Source organism: Homo sapiens, chromosome 2 (genome assembly GCF_000001405.40).
Source record: "Homo sapiens chromosome 2, GRCh38.p14 Primary Assembly".
Taxonomy (NCBI): domain Eukaryota; kingdom Metazoa; phylum Chordata; class Mammalia; order Primates; family Hominidae; genus Homo; species Homo sapiens.
The window spans coordinates 210,471,233-210,487,345 of record NC_000002.12 but is presented as its reverse complement, the minus strand read 5'-3'; the positions used below and the strand labels follow the sequence as shown (position 1 = coordinate 210,487,345).

The 16,113-nt window shown below is 40.3% G+C and overlaps 2 protein-coding genes across 6 annotated transcripts in view, besides 1 other annotated feature; one reads left to right on the top strand and one right to left on the bottom strand.

The window, feature by feature from the left end:
- CPS1 (carbamoyl-phosphate synthase 1) overlaps positions 1 to 9,661 on the bottom strand; it is a 201,423-nt gene extending 191,762 nt beyond the window's left edge. For both annotated transcript variants that reach the window (NM_001369257.1, NM_001122633.3), the window contains exon 1: positions 9,580 to 9,661. The gene's annotated coding sequence lies outside the window, so the exon portion shown is untranslated. The remainder of the gene's footprint in view (positions 1 to 9,579) is intronic.
- Positions 5,459 to 5,960: an enhancer, noted in NCBI's record as "NANOG hESC enhancer chr2:211346110-211346611 (GRCh37/hg19 assembly coordinates)". NCBI's record gives its function as "activates a minimal SCP1, AML or CMV promoter by ChIP-STARR-seq in primed H9 embryonic stem cells {active_cell/tissue: H9 hESC(primed)}" and the evidence as "EXISTENCE:reporter gene assay evidence [ECO:0000049][PMID:30033119]".
- Positions 9,762 to 16,113, top strand: part of LANCL1 (LanC like glutathione S-transferase 1) — a 46,334-nt gene continuing 39,982 nt past the window's right edge. Inside the window, exons 1-3 of one of the 4 annotated variants that reach the window (XM_005246243.3) lie at positions 9,762 to 9,896; positions 10,934 to 11,030; positions 15,270 to 15,387. In XM_005246243.3, coding sequence (XP_005246300.1) covers positions 9,877 to 9,896; positions 10,934 to 11,030; positions 15,270 to 15,387 — 235 coding nt within the window. In that variant the 5' untranslated portion in view covers positions 9,762 to 9,876. Of the gene's footprint in view, positions 9,897 to 10,586; positions 10,727 to 10,933; positions 11,031 to 15,269; positions 15,388 to 16,113 lie in introns of those variants that run through there. The other 3 variants (NM_001136575.2, NM_001136574.2, NM_006055.3) reach the window with 3 other exon arrangements.

Here is a 16,113-nt window from a genome sequence, read left to right as displayed (position 1 = left end):
ACAACAGAGAGCAAGTCCTCCAACTGAATATCTAAATGGCTGAGGTCAGAGGGCAGAGAGAAGTGACAGTAAGCCAACAGGGAAGAAGCAGGGTGGGGTGAGCACTCCGGCTGAAGCCACACGAAAAGACAAAAGAGTGACATGTTGTTCAGTAGGTCCTTCTGAGAAAGTTAAGAATAGCTTATTTAAGGAAATGAGAATGTAGGTTAAGAATATTCTTGAGTTATACTTCATTTCCAAAAAATGTAACTAGGAATAAACAAAGACATGCTTCAATGTATATTTTTGTGTGTGTAGACAGCACAATTCATTTACAGAGTAAGAATTCAAAGCAAGCAAAAAATAAATAAATAAATAAATAAAAGGCATGGGTCCTGTTTTTAGGCTTGGTTCCTGGAAACAAACTCAAGGTAGAAATTGGCATGTAAGAGGTTATGGTGGAGTGCCCTCTGGAATAAGAGCTGTGAAAAGCCAGAGTGTGAGGAAGGCAGATTGAGCAAAGGAGAAGTTGACCTACAATGCATTTGAAAAGAGCTAGCTGGGCGCAGTGGCTCACACTTATAATCCTGGCACTTTGGGAAGCCAAGGCGAGCGGATCACCTGAGGTCAAGAGTTCGAGACCAGCCTGACCAACATGGAGAAACCCTGTCTCTAATGGAAATACAAAATTAGCTGCATGTGGTGGTGCATGCCTGTAATCCCAGTTACTTAGGAGGCTGAGGCAGGAGAATCGCTTGAACCCAGGAGGCGGAGGTTGCGGTAAGCCGCGATCGCACCATTGCACTCCAGCCTGGGCAACAGGAGTGAAACTCCATCTCAAAAAAAGAAAAGAGGCTTCAGCCCATCCTATGGGCAGCTCTGGATATAAAACGTAAGATGATAAGATGATATAAGGACATAAGATGGTCCTAGATTGAAGCAAGGGTGTTGGGCACGTGTACTTCTGTGAGTGACCAGTCATTAGATGCTCTTCAAAGACATTTAAGAGAATGAAAAGACAAGCTGAAGCCAAAGAGAAAACATCAACAAATGTTTTTACATATATCTCATAAATGACTTATATATAAAGATCTCTCAAAGCTATTATGAATAATATTAAGTAAATAAACATCCCAATTTAAAAGCTGGGAATGGGGGAAGGGACTAAAGATTTGAACAAACACATTACCATATATATATATACAGGGTGTGTGTGTGTGTGTGTGTGTGTGTGTGTGTGTGTGTGTGTGTATGTGTGTGTGTATATATATATGTATATATATACACATATATATACATATATATATATTTGGCTGGCAAATAAGCATTAAAAAATGTAACAGCATTAGTAATTAGGGACATGAAAGTTAAAATCACAATGCGATACTACTACAAATCCACCAGAATGCTAAAATTAGAAGGGCAGAATATACCAAGTATTGACAAGTAAGTACGTGGAGGAACTAGAAATCTCATAAACTGCTGGTGGGAATGTGAAATGGTACAATCATTTTGGGAAACAATTTATTAGTTTCTTAAAGTACATTTAACATACTACCCAGCCATTATACTCCTAGATATCTACACAAGAGAAATGAAAGACTGTATCCATACAAAGTATGAACATGTTACTTGTAGCTTTATTTGTAATAGCCAATGGCTGGATAGAATTCAACCATTCATCAACAGATGAATGGAGAAATACATCTTGAGAAGCAAATTCATACAATGGAATAAAACTGACAAATAGAAAGAAATTGACTATTAATACCTGCAATATAGATAAATCTAAAAATAATTATACTGAGTGAAAAAAATCAGAATTACATACTATAAAATTCTACTTATTCAAAATTCTAGAAAATGCAGAAATTATATATTTTCAGACAGCAGATCAGTGATTGTCCATGGCTAGGAAACAGAGATTGTCAGTGGAAAACAGGAAGGAGGAATTATAAATGGTATGAGGGAATCTGGGGGTGAGAAATAATGATCATTATCTCAATTTTGGTGATGATTTATGGGTATATACCTAAGTCAAAACTTATGAAATGGTATACTTTAGATACCGTTTACTTATGTCCATTATGTCTCATAAGATCTATTTTTATTTTTATTTTATTTTTTTTTTTTTTGAGATGTAGTCTTGCTCTGTCACCCAGGCTGGAGTGCCGTGGCACCATCTTGGCTCACTGCAAGCTCACGCCTCCCGGGTTCACACCATTCTCCTGCCTCAGCCTCCCGAGTAGTTGGGACTACAGGTGCCTGCCACCATGCCCGGCTAATTTTTTTTTGTATTTTTAGTAGAGACGGGGTTTCACCATGTTAGCCAGGATGGTCTCGATCTCCTGACCTCATGATCTGCCCACCTCAGCCTCCCAAAGTGCTGGGATTACAGGCGTGAGCCACCATGCCTGGCCAAGATCTATTTTTAAAAACTGTTACTGAAACACTAGGGATGCAGTCTAGATTCTGCTGCATGCCACACAGAAAACCAATCACTGAGACAATCAGTTTTTCCAGGGAAGAAGGCTTCAATCAGGTGCCAAAGAGATGGGAAATCAGTCTGAAGTCTATCTCCTACACCTACTAAAATTAGGGGGGTTTATAGCAGGAAAGAAATGCAATCATATATGAGAATACAGAATTTAGGGAGGGGTAAGGAAGAGCAGTTAGTCAACAGAAAGCAGGTAGTCAGTTAGGTAGTCATGATAGGTGGTTCTGGCATCTCATCGTCCAGATGTGGTGATCTGGTAAGTTACAGTCCCTTGATACTATCTGGGAGGCCTGATGGTTGGTTTCCTGAGAAAGGAACTCAGATAAGACAAATGTAAATGTCTCAAGTTTTAAAACCAGGAGGGTCAATTTCTATGTTTATTCAAAAGAAATCATAAACATCAGTTCTATGGGACAATTGGCCAGTTTCAAAATCATTCCATGGCTCTCTATTGTCTTTAGGATAAAGTGTAAGCTCCTTGTCATGTCTTATAAGAAGTTCTAAGACCACTGTCTCTCTGCAACCTCTTTTCTTTCTGGGCCTTGACCCCTCTCTGTGCTCCAGCTGGGCTCCTGGCATTTATGTGAAAGTGCTGTGACTTTGCCTGACTCATCTTTGCACAGGTTGACCCTTCCATCTGGGATGTTCCCCTGGATCACCTTCACTTGGCTCATCGCTATGCTTCCTTCCAAACTCAACTCAGATGTCACCTTCTATGAAACCTCCCTGACTGCCTCAGGTCAGGTAAGGTGACTCTCCCACCATGAGTTCTCATGGTTTCCTTAGTATCTTAAGACATAACATTTATGCACATTGTAGTCATTTGTTTGCTTATTCAGTTTCTTATTTGTGAGATATTTCAGTTCAGAAGCCACTCCTCAAACCTAGAATACAATATGCACTCCATAGACACTTTGCAACACCCATCTGAAGAATAAGTAAATGGATCAATGAATGAGCAAAAGAACCAACAAATAAATCAGAAAATATAATTCAGGGACATTTTAGAGGCCCAATCCTGACATATCCAGGTAAGGCCAACCTTGTGAATAAACAAGATACATGGAAACAGGTATAATGTGATTTTTGCAGACAGATGTAAAAGGTTTGTCTGGCAACATATATAGCTATGCCAGTTTATTTGAACTGTGTTCCTAAATATTCAGAGTGAGGGAAATACAGACTTGGTGCAGAGAGAGTAAATTAGGAATTTATAATGGAGAGTGGGAGTTACGAGAGGACCCATATAGTCAAGGCAGCATAAAAGAGCCCTGATGTCCAGCAGGGAGAAAAGGGCGAGGAAATGCTGGTGGCTGGAGCTACCTGGGCAGAAGGAGGAGGACAGTAGATGGTTAAGCATATTGGCTCTCAAGTCAGAAGGTCTGGGGTCACCACTCACGTGATGGTGACCTTGGAACAGTGAGATAACTATGTAAGTCTCTGTTTCCTCACATGTAAGAGGGATGAGTAGTAGTATTACTCATGAGACTACTTTCCAAAGATGAAAGGAAATAGTTCGAGTAAAGTACCTATCCTACAGTAAAGTCTTGAAAACAGTAGATGCTGTTATTAGGAAGGGGATGTGGATTAACCTCCCCTTCTTGGCCTTTATGTGTTCCTACCAACACCACTAATTGCTCTGGAAGGTTTATGAGTCTTTACACACAGAGCGACAGCATGCCTCCTGGTACCCTCAGCGTTACTTTGCTTACCCCTGGCTTAAAGGTATAGATCTTTATTAAAGTACTTAGGCCCCAAGATGAAAGGGTATAAAATTGAATTATTCCACCTGAAGAAGATCAAATTAAACTTTTATAACTTAAAAAGACTTATCTTGACTAGTTGTTCTTTATTCTGCGCAAAATATGTTTAAGTTTCTGGTTGATCAATATTTAGTCTAGATCTAAGGAAAAAACATGAGGGCATTAAGAACCCTAATTGACTGCCAAAAGAAGTTATGAATGCTCTTTCTCTGAAAGTATCTAAGTGAAATAACCACCTATAAGTACACATTGGGTTAGGCTGCAGTGAAAAGATATTTCTTTTTTCTTTTTAAATATTAGGAAATACTTTAGGGACTATGATATAACAAATGTAAATTGATGGGCACGATAACTCAAGGAATTTCAGTCTGTTAACCTTTAGAACCATGGCTTTTATATTCAGAATTGTGCTCTCTCTCTCTCTCTCTCTTTCTCTCTCTCTCTCTCTCACCAGCATATGTCAAACTCTAGTCTATAGTCTGCAAAAGAATCACATTAAGATTAAGATTCAGGTGGGAGCAGTGGCTCACATCTGTAATTCCAGTACTTTGGGAAGCTGAGGCGGGCGGATCACTTGGCCAGGCGGATCAGCCTGGGGTACATGGTGAAACCCTGTGTCTACTAAAAATACAAAAAATTAGCCAGGCGTGGTGGCACGGGTCTGTAATCCCAGCTACTCAGGGGGCTGCGGTGGGAGAATTGCTGGAACCCGAGAGTGAGCTGAGTGAGCCGAGATCGCACCATTGCACTCCAGCCTGGGAGACAGAGCGAGACTCCATCTCAAAAGAAAAAAAAAAAAAGGGATTCAACGTAGTCTACAAGAGTTTCATATGAAGATTTTTAAAATGCAGATTCAACCCAAACCTCCTGAGGTCTGGGAATCTGTGTTTTAAACAAGCTCCTGATACAATGTATGAGAATTGCTGCTTCCGAACTCGGAGTTACCCAGGGAAAAAAGTTTTATATAACTCCTTGAATGCCAAGTCCTGTCCCTCAGGAGGCAGGAAATTAGTCCTGAGAATTTCATCCTCCCTTTCTCAGCTAGTTCCAAAAACAGTCCTGGGCCCAGGCTTTGAGGCTCAGCCCAGGTGTTGTGATGATGTATAAGAAGCCAGTTAAAGAAGCCAGCTCCTCTCTGCAGCTGCAGCCCTGGCTGTTGCCATAGCCACTGGCTGACCAGTAGCATGGTCAGTTCAAGATGATCCCACAAGGCAATCACAGGATGAACCAGCTGGATTCTTGAAGTGTCCTTCTAGGTCTATAAATTCCACTGCTAAATTCCTATTGCCCTGAAGTAGCAGCTTCTCCACTTCTTATGAACTACATTCTACTTACAGTTACTCACCTATACACCTGCCCTCAAGGCAAATAGAAAGGAAAAATGAAGCACAAATAACGTGGCTACTAGGCAAGTAGGAAAATGTTAAGTTTTCTCTTTCAAATGACTGAAGAGCACCTGCTGTGTGGCAATTCCAAATCTTAAAAGAAGGACTGCAAAGGCCTGAGTATCTCTCTGTTGGCTACTCTCCCCTGCCAGGGTGTACAACTATCAGATATGCCAAAAGAACACATCAGAATGGGACAATGCAGGGCTTTGGTAATATATCATCTTTCCATGGCTGAGTTTTGTGTGGTTGGATGGGATGGAAGCAAAAACAATCCACTTGATTAACAATTCAGCGTCCTGAGAAGACCCCTCCAGAAGGGGATACTTTCCATCCTTCCCATCATTATGAAATTCAATCATATAGAGAAATGGGGACCTGCATAAATTTAACAATGCAATATAGACACATATTTTCAACAGCAAAGGGGGAAGTCTCCTTTTCTTTTTTCTCGTTAAAGACACATACTAACACTGCTTGATAAAGAGCCCATCACAAGTGTTAGGTGGAGAAAGGAAAAAGCTTAAATGTTTGTACATCTTTTACCAACTTTCTGGACTCACAATCTTTTTTAATCTCCCAAGGAAACCCCAGCACACCTGTGTTCCATATAATAGCAGCTCTCACCCAGCAGGTACATTGAGAGAAAGGAATCTGTCAGCACATTAATAAGATCCTGACAAGGCAGGGAGGAAAGGCTGCCAGTGCCATAAGAAATACTGTCTCCAGGAAATTAAAAGTGTTCCATAGTGCGCTTGGTGTACATCTGTTTATGTTCTTGTTTCCTCCACTGGCAATTGCTCCTGTCAATCCATGAATTCTGTACTATGAACGAAACAGAAAATTGCTTCAGTAGTACACAGTCCCAGCTGGGTGTTAAACCAGCAGTGTGGTGATATTAGACTCAAGCTTAGATGCTCTTGCTTTACACTTCTTTGAGCTAAAAAGAAAATAAGGTAATGTCAACAACAAAAAAAGAGACAAGTGGTACTTAGGAGAAAAGTGAAAAAAGTAAAAACCATTTGCTTGATTTTGTATGTGTGTGTCTGTCTGTGTGCGTATATGTGTGTTTGAAAGCAGGTGGGGAGTTTCTAGAAAAAATATAGGATATGGAGTCTCAAGATCTCTCTTTTACCCCAAAGACCCACCAGCTAACAAGGATCAAGGGAATAGGTAGGAAGAAACAGAGAAGGCATGGTTGCTAGGAGGTTAGAGGCAAAAGGAACACCACAGACACTATAGCATGCTGCGCCTTTGCTGGCAGACAGGGGCTATCAGTTACTAAAACTGCCATCATGTATTGGAGGACATTAACTGTCCACCAAAGTCAGTCTTCCCCTTCTTTCATTGTAGCTGAACACATAGCTGTTCAGCAGAGAACTTCATTTCACAGCCTCCTGGGCAGCTAGAGGTGGCCAAGTGACTAAATCCTCACCAGTAGAACACGAGGGAAGTGACAAATCCCACTTCCTGGTCTGTGCACTTCTCTGGGTGTGCCTGACCTTCTCACAAGCTGCAATACCGACACACCTATGACCAGCATGGACTTGATGAGAGCATCACACTCTGAGGGAGGTGGGAACAGAGATGGAAGGAATCTGTGATCCTGAATGGCCACATGGAGCAAATCTAATCTGAACTAAGAAAAATACATTTCTATGTATTTTGGAGATTATGTTTTGAGGCCTCTTTGTAACTAACATAGTTTTCACCCTAATATACATTATAACATTTTGAAATTAAAGTCTGAGAATGGAACTAAAATGCCCTCAGAATATAGTTGTTTTCTCTGTTATCAATCATCCCAGATTTCCAGAAGTATTCAGTTTTAGAGGCAATAATACAATGATTATTTCCTGAAAGTTCACACAAGACAGCTACAGTGATTAAAAGAAGGAACATTACATTTTTTTAAAAAATCATCCTAAATTTATCAAAAGTAGAATGATCCATAAAAAATTATAACTGTCAAATTTGTGTTAGCCACAAATGTGTTCAGCCACCATAGCCACAGGTGAAAGCATAGGTACTATTTGGGGCTAAAATTGTTGCCCCCCAAATTCATACGTTGAAGTCCTAACTCTCACTATCTCAGCATGTGGCTGCTGGAGAAGGGTCTTTAAAGAAAAGTAAGGTTAGCCAAGTCAGGCATATCACTTGAGGTCAGGAGTTCAAGACCAGCCTGGCCAACATGGTGAAACCCCGTCTCTACTGAAAATACAAAAATTAGCTGGGCGTGGTGGTGTGTGCCTGTAATCCCAGCTACTCTGGAGGCTGAGGCAGGAGAATCGCTTGAACCAGGGAGTCAGAGGTTGCAGTGAGCCGAGATCGTGCCACTGCACTCCAGCCTGGCAACAGAGCGAGACTCCGTCTCAAAAAAAAAAAAAAAAAAGAAAGAATGATAAGGTTCAATGAAGTCATAATCCACTATGATGGTGTCGTAAGAAGAGGAAATTAGGACACAGACAACACAGACTGAGGGACAACCATGTGAAGATAGGAGAAGACGGCATCTACAAGCCAACAAGACAGGCCTCAGATGGAATCAGTCCTGCTAACATCTTAATCCCAGACTTCTATCCTTCACAACTGTGGAAAAATACATTTCTGTTGTTTCAGGCCACTTGCTATGGTTCTTTGTGTGGCAGCCTGAGTAGATAAATACAAACAATAAATGTTAAATACTTTTCTTTTGTATCAGAACCAAGGAGGGATTCTCTGGGTTGGTTCTCTGACAAAAAGGAAGGAAGAAAGAGAAGGAAAGCAGGGAGGGAGGGAGGGAAGGGAGGGGGGAAGGGGGGAGGGGGGAGGAGGGAGGGAGGGAGGGAAATATTATTTCCAGCAATTAAAATCTTTGGGTGTTTACAAGTCACATGCTTTGATTATATTTAAATTCTAAATAATTCTACTTCCCTTCCGTTTAGACGCATGCTTCACATCATCTTCAGAAGTAAACTCCAGATAAAGACTTAAATATAAGAGGTAAAAAGCTAATAAAATAAAATGTGGGAAGTCATTGCAGTCTATGAGTAGACAAAGACATTTTGAATATGAAGCTAAATCCTCAAATCACAGTGTCACAATTAGATGGGTTTAACTTCATCGAAATGAAAGATTGTGATTCAATAAAGGATATCCTAGAAAATGTGAACAAACTAAAGAAAGTATCTACAATAACTAAAGTGAAAGGAGATTAATATACAGAATATACCCCACAAACACGGGAAAAAAAGAAACAAAACTCTTTCAAATCAACAGGAAAACAATGCAATCACTAATAGAAAAATAAATAAAGGAACAGGTAAAGCCCAATTGTCTAACAGGTATATGAAGGAAAGTTCAACACCATTAGCCACAGAAAAACTAAAAGATTAAACATCAGTGAGATTCTACATTATTCATTAGAATGGCAAACATTAGAACACTAGATAATACCAAGTGTTGGAGAGGAGATGGAAATGACAGAAACAATTGATATGTTGGAGTGAATACTCTTGGAGTGAACAATAGATACTGTTAGAGGGAATATAAACTAGTCCAGCAGTTTTGGAAAGCAATCTAACAACATTGGGGAAATTAAGTACAGAATCTCATATGATCCAGCAATTGACTGCTGGGTGTATGTCTCAGGGATACTCACACAGATTCATAAAAGCACATGTTCCAAGAATATTATTTGTAGTATGGAAGTTAGAAACAATGTCCATCATTAGGGGAAAGGATTAGTAAAATAAGATAGAGGCATACTATGAAAATATACAATTACCATCCTGCCTTGCTTAACAACAGTAATATTTAATTGCTTAAAGACTGTGAGTGGGATAAATGGATAGCCTTTAATCATTAAAGAAAAAATAATTGATAAAATGTCTCTCGTTTTCCTTTTCTCTCTTGTGAGTTGCTCCTTCAAACACCCATCTTTTAAAACATGAGAGATATCCAGCTTAAGACTCACCATGGGCCTCGGCTAAATCTTCATGAATTTGATGAGGTTAAGAAAGCAACTACATTTCCTAAGAAAGCAACTATTTTAAAAGAGCAAACCTGGGTGTGGGGAGGGATTAGGAGTAGAGTTTGGGATGGCAGCCTCAGAAGGACAAACTTAGGCCAAGGAGGGAGGGAGTTGGGGTGGAGACTGAGCTTCTCCAGTTGGAGGTCTGGAGCTAGGACTCTTCATTGAAACCGGAGAGAAGGAAAAGGAGAGAGTGAGGCTGACTTTTTAACTGAACTCCAAAATTCTCTGAGCAATAGAATGGGCCTAATATGTACCAGGTGGGATTTAATTTTAAATGAAAGAAAAATGTTTCAGATAGCAGGGACTGTTAAAACATTGAAATTGAATGTTGTGGATCTCCTGCTGTGTTGGTTTTCAGTATTTTTTAGAGCTTTGTTATCCAGTATTATAGTCCAATTTAGGCTAAGGAACAGAATAAATTTCCTAAGAGCTGTAATTTGTGTTTTCATGTGCTTTCCCCAAAGTATTATCAACTGCTATTTGATATCCTGTCCTTTGGGCATATTTTTGTTGTTGTTGTTGTTAATGATGGTGGTGCTTTTTTGTTTGTTTGTTTTAAGAAATGAAAAGAAAAGATTGGCAAGTCCCTGGAGAGACATTATCCCCCCACCCCCCGCCAAATTTTATCTATTGCGAACAGCAGAAATACCAGCATGTTCAGATCTAAAAGCAGTCTGTTTCTTCTCCAGGTTAAAAAAATATATACTTCTTATGACTCTGGACTTAAATTTGACTTTTTAAAAATAAGAAAAATTAAAGAAGGGTAGGAAATATTGGTCACATCTCCGCGTGATTCTAGGTCCTCACTTCTGCTACCCAGTAATTAAAATACCCTGCGTTATCCTTTAGAAATTACACGCCTGTGTCTTTAACAAACTGTAAGAGAGAAGGGGGCGGGTCTCGGGAACGGCGAAGGCTCTGATTGGCCCTCCTGGCAGGAACTGGGCGGTAAAATAGCCCTTCTGTTACTGTCCGGGGCTGCGGGGTGAGAGGCCAGGGCCGAGAAGGGCTTCAGGACGCGGGAGGCGCACTTGCTTCAAGTCGCGGGCGTGGGAACGGGGTTGCAAAACGGGGCCTCTTTGTCCGGGTGGGTTAAGGGCCCTGGCAGCTTTTTCGCGAAGGCGCCATGTCCTAGCAGTTGGGCCGCAGTGGGCCCGAGGTCCACTCGGACCGCCGAGACGGCTCGATGGCCCTGGAGCTGGAGGAAGGGGGATACCTGGGCGCCGCCGCCGCCCTCGCAACTCGGCCGAGGCCCCTATCTCAACCTAGTTTCTGTTTTTCCCCTGTTCTGCAGGCTTGCTTCCGGCGTCATGGCTCAAAGGGCCTTCCCGAATCCTTATGCTGATTATAACAAATCCCTGGCCGAAGGCTACTTTGATGCTGCCGGGAGGGTGAGTTTAGGATATGTCTGCCTGCATCCCTGCCTCTCCCCACGGTGTTCGGAAAGGTGCTCATTTTTGCCTGAGAGAGTTGAGCATCCCCCTTTAAAAAAATACATGATTCGACGATAAATACGTAAATTATTTAAAAATACATGTTAATATATACAAATTGAGCTCTAACATAATGTTAAATGTGTCATTGTTAACATTATTAATTGAAATAAACTCAATTATTGATAGTATAAATTTTAAAAATTGGCAAATATGTAGTTTACTATGTAATTGGCATTTTTTAATGTATTTTGGTTTGCTTCTTAAAAAGAGGTGAAGAATCCTAACGGTATTCACATGTGCCGTGTTACTCCTTTGTGATTATACACAAGTGCGTTCAGGGTAATGATGAGAGCAAACGGTGGTGTATGGTAAGGACGTCTTTAAACTGTTAGTGCTTAGAGAATTTGGGGACCTAGGAAACCTGAAGTTCTTTGTACCGGTGTCACTCCACAGGGCATATCCACAGCTGGAAAACAAAAAAAAAGAAACTTGTAAATTAAACTGGTTAGCATGTCACAAATCACTGTGCAAAAGAGAACCTGGATGTAAAATACTAGGGGCCTGTGTTTTCTCATGCCTCATTGGGTGAACATAATTGTTAAGAGGGAATACAGATATTTTTAAGAATACCTACTTTTGGCTGGGTGCAGTGGCTCACACCATTAATCCCGACACTTTGGGAAATCAAGGCAGGAGGATTGCTTAAGGCCACGAGTTTGAGACCAGCCTGTGCAACACAGCAGGACCTTATCTCTACTAAAATTTTTTTAAAAATTAGCCAGGTGTGGTGGAAAGCTTGTAGTCCCAGCTACTTGGGAGGCTGAGGCGGGAGAATTGCTGGAGCCTAGGAGATTCGAGGCTGTAGTGAGCTATGATTGCACCACTGCACTCTAGCCTGGGTGACAGAGACCCTGTCTCTAAAAAATAAAAAAATAAAATTTAGTTTTGAAAATGAGTTAAGTTGGAAACAAGGCACACGCTTTAAAAATTTTACCAGTTTATTTCTTTGAAACTTGTCAGCCATACAAAAGACATTTTATGTGATATAAAGGCCTTACAGATTTCATCCCTGTCAAATTAATCTGTGGGTCTGATGGTTGTTTTTTTCCTTAAAACACTTGTCACATTATAGATTAACTTGGGTCAGTAATGCAGGTAGGAGGAATCAAAGAGATGAAGAAGAGGTGTAGGGTAGAAGGCTACCAAAATGTATATGGAGTTTGAGTCAATCTGATTATTTTAAGACTAGTATTAAGCTGCCCAAACAAAGCTTTTTATAATTATCTTCAGGTCAGATGGATTCCCTTTGGCCATTTGGGCCTGCATTCTGCTTAGCTGTGCAGATTCTCAAGCTGAAGTATGTGTCTTGTCTTGCGGGAGGAGGACTTGCTGCTTCATACTGACTTGGCAAAGAGAACAGTTGAGGATTGTCCTAGTGACAGAAACCTTCAATAAAATGTACCTATTTAGACTGCCTATAAAGTAAATGCTTTTTATGAATTTAACCCTTTATTTATTTATTTATTTATTTTTATTTTTATTTTTTTAGACGGAGTCTCACCCTGAGCCCAGGCTGGAGTGCAGAGGCACAGTCTTGGCTCACTGCAACTTCTGCCTCCCAGGCCCAAGTGACTCTCATGCCCCAGCCTCCTGAGTAGCTGGGATTACAGGTGCACACCACCGCACCTGGCTAATTTTTTTTTTTTTTTGTATTTTTAGTAGAGGCAGGGTTTCACCATGTTGGCCAGGCTGGTGTCGAACTCCTGACCTCAAGTGATCCACCCATCTCAGCCTCCCAAAGTGCCGGGATTACAGGTGTGAGCCACCATGTCGGGCCAAATTTAACCCTTTGTTTCTAAGGGGAAAAATTCACAAATTTAAACCCTGACCCAAGAGTAATAATGTAGTTTATTGCCTAACGTAGTTTTTGGACAGGTCCTAGAAAGGAAGTAGCATACCAGTTCTAAAATTGTGTAATGTTGAACACGGAGGATCAAACCCTGGAGATCTGTCCTCCTTAATTTCTTAACACAAGATTTCAGTAAGGAACTGGTCTGTTTTCTGGCATCTGTCAGAAAAAAATAGAAAAGAAAAAAGGACTTTTAGAGACTTCAGATTATAGCTAGAGTTTGAATGATTTGGTGGTGTACCACAAGCAATCAATATTCTCACAGAGGTCACCTTTATTAAATGCAGAATGTGCCAAACAGAAAGTAACTTCCCTTCATAAGGCTGAGAGATTCTCATTATTCTTGATCTCTTGAAGGCCAGGCAAGATGATAAATTATATATGATCTATATACAGTAGATGACGTGTTCTCAATATAGATGCACTCTTCTATCTAGCTGAGATTTATAGGCCTTTTGTATTAACATTGAAGTATATTTTATCCTACTAAATGTATTTTCAAGTCTAGTTGAAATCTTAACCTCTTTGCAGAAATTGTTAAATAATGGGAGTGTGTCTGTCAAACAACGTCGTTTCTTCTAAAGAGTGAAATAAGGGATCATAGTGGTGCTTTAGATTAAATAATCCAGATGTGGTTGAAAGTCTGATTTGCCTTATCAAGGATGCTCCTCCGAAGTGAATCTTAACGTATCCTTAAACTATTGTTGTTGTTGTTAATTCTGATACTGCCTTCTTGCTGTTTTCAGTGTTAAGATTTTATCTCATTTTTAAAAATGAGATTCTGATGTGAGTGGTTAGGTTTATTTCTACAATCCTTACATGGTAAAATAAAATGTTTATACCCTTGTAACTTTCCCCCACATTGTTCTGAAATTTTAATTACTATGTGAAATTCAAGTCTTAGAATCACAGCAAGTTCTTAAAATTATTGAGGGAGACAATAAAGTGAGTTTTTTGGGTTTTTGTTGTTGTTGTTGTTGTTGTTTGAGATGGAGTTTCGCTCTTGTTGCCCAGGCTGGAGTGCAGTGGCACGATCTCGGCTCACCACAACCTCCATCTCCCAGGTTCAAGGAATTCTCCTGCCTCAGGCTTCCGAATAGCTGGGATTACAGGCGTTCACCACCATGCCCGACTAATTTTGTATTTTTAGTAGAGATGGGGTTTCTCCATGTTGGTCAGACTGGTCTCGAACTCCTAACCTCAGGTTATCCGCCCACCTCGGCCTCCCAAAATGCTAGGATTACAGGCATTAGCCACTGTGCCCGGCCTTCAGTGACTTTTTAAGACACTGATTCAGTGTGTGCAGAAGTTTAAAATTATTTTTCATTTGCCTTTAAGAAGAATAACGTAATGATTGTGTGAGCCTCACTGTTTGCACAGCATCTGTGGACCTTCATATGGGTGGTACTAACCCCACAGCCCCAGCCTTAGTGTATTTTCAATCCATATCTAAACTATTACTTGCCTTAGACCCTTGATCTGCTAAAGAATTAGTAAAAATGTCAACATTTACATCCCTGAATGAGAAAGACTTGTGATACACTATCTCATTTAATCCCCAAAGTACCTTTTGAAATTGGCGTGGCAGTTATTATTATCCTGACTTTATGGAGGTATTTGAAACATAAAGAAGTTATGAGTTGAGCAAGATCAGCTAATAGCGGGTAAGGATGTAGACAGGCTCATTCATTGAGAAACATTTGTGAAGCCCGTATTCTCTGCCAGACACTGTGCTGGACGTGGGTTTATGATGCTAAGTTTGATATTCTTTCTATTCTGCTTAAGGCTCTTGATATACATGAATTTGTTTTGCTTTTCTTTGGCTACTTCATTTTTTTTAAATCCTTTTTTTTAAATAAGAGCAATTAGATGTTTCTTTAGGGAATTTACCTTGCTGCAGCTTGAATACTAAAAATCCAGTAGTTTGAAAGCACCAAACATCTGATTTGTGCTTAATTTAATAAAAAGACTTTATTATAATATTGGTTTAAATAATAGACGATTACTATTAGGTGGAAAATTACTGTGAGCCAGTTTATCATTGGCAGTCTGTTTTAGTATTTAACTAAAAATTTTATTTAAAACATGTATAAGTTACAACGGTATTTTATAAATTTTGTTAATGTGATGTTGTTGTTTAAGAATAGAAAATAAATTGTTTAGTCTTCCAGGTGGAAAAATATGTCCTAAGTGGAAAAGAAATACCTTTCTGTCTTTGATAGCTTATAGTCCAGCAAGCTGGGTGACCCACATTATTTTGATACTTGTTTTCCTTTAATATCTAGCTGACTCCTGAGTTCTCACAACGCTTGACCAATAAGATTCGGGAGCTTCTTCAGCAAATGGAGAGAGGCCTGAAATCAGCAGACCCTCGGGATGGCACCGGTTACACTGGCTGGGCAGGTATGAAGTGCTGACTGTGAGCTGGCATAAGCATTGTGCTTAAGAGCCAGAGCATTTTTCCGAGAGCTGTCTGTCTGAATGGTACACCCTTAAATGCTTCCTGCATCTGCATATGAGTAATTGCTTCTGGGAGAGTGCTGTGCCCTCAACCCAACCAACCATGGTATCTTCTGGGTTTTTAATAGTGCCCTGAATTTAGGGCATGGTAAGCATATTCATGTAATTCATGCCTGACATTTGGATGGCTGCTATACTTGTGAGGAGAAAAATTGATTTTCAATATTACATAGTTAATTTGCAGATGTAATTTCAGTGGGAAGAATTGGGAAGAGTTCCAAAATACAATGCCTGAAGCGGAGGTAATGAGGATTGATCTCAGGAATAAAATATGTCCAGAAGCATGTTTTAAAAAGTTAACCCGTAACAGGAATCCATACAGGAATCCATACAGGGTAAAGTATTACTTCCATGAACTAATCCTCCCATATGGTCATTGCTGTTTGGTTTGCAATTGCTGCATTGCCAATCTCAATCATTGAGAGGCTGGAGGAGGTTTAGGAAGAAACAGTGCATTGATGTCAAAAAAAGGTGAGAAAGAGAAAAATCAAAGAAGAGGCTGGGCGCAGTGGCTCACACCTGTAATCCCAGCACTTTGGGAGGCCGAGGCGGGTGGATCACGAGGTCAAGAGATCAAGACCATCCTGGCCAACACTGTGCAACCCCATC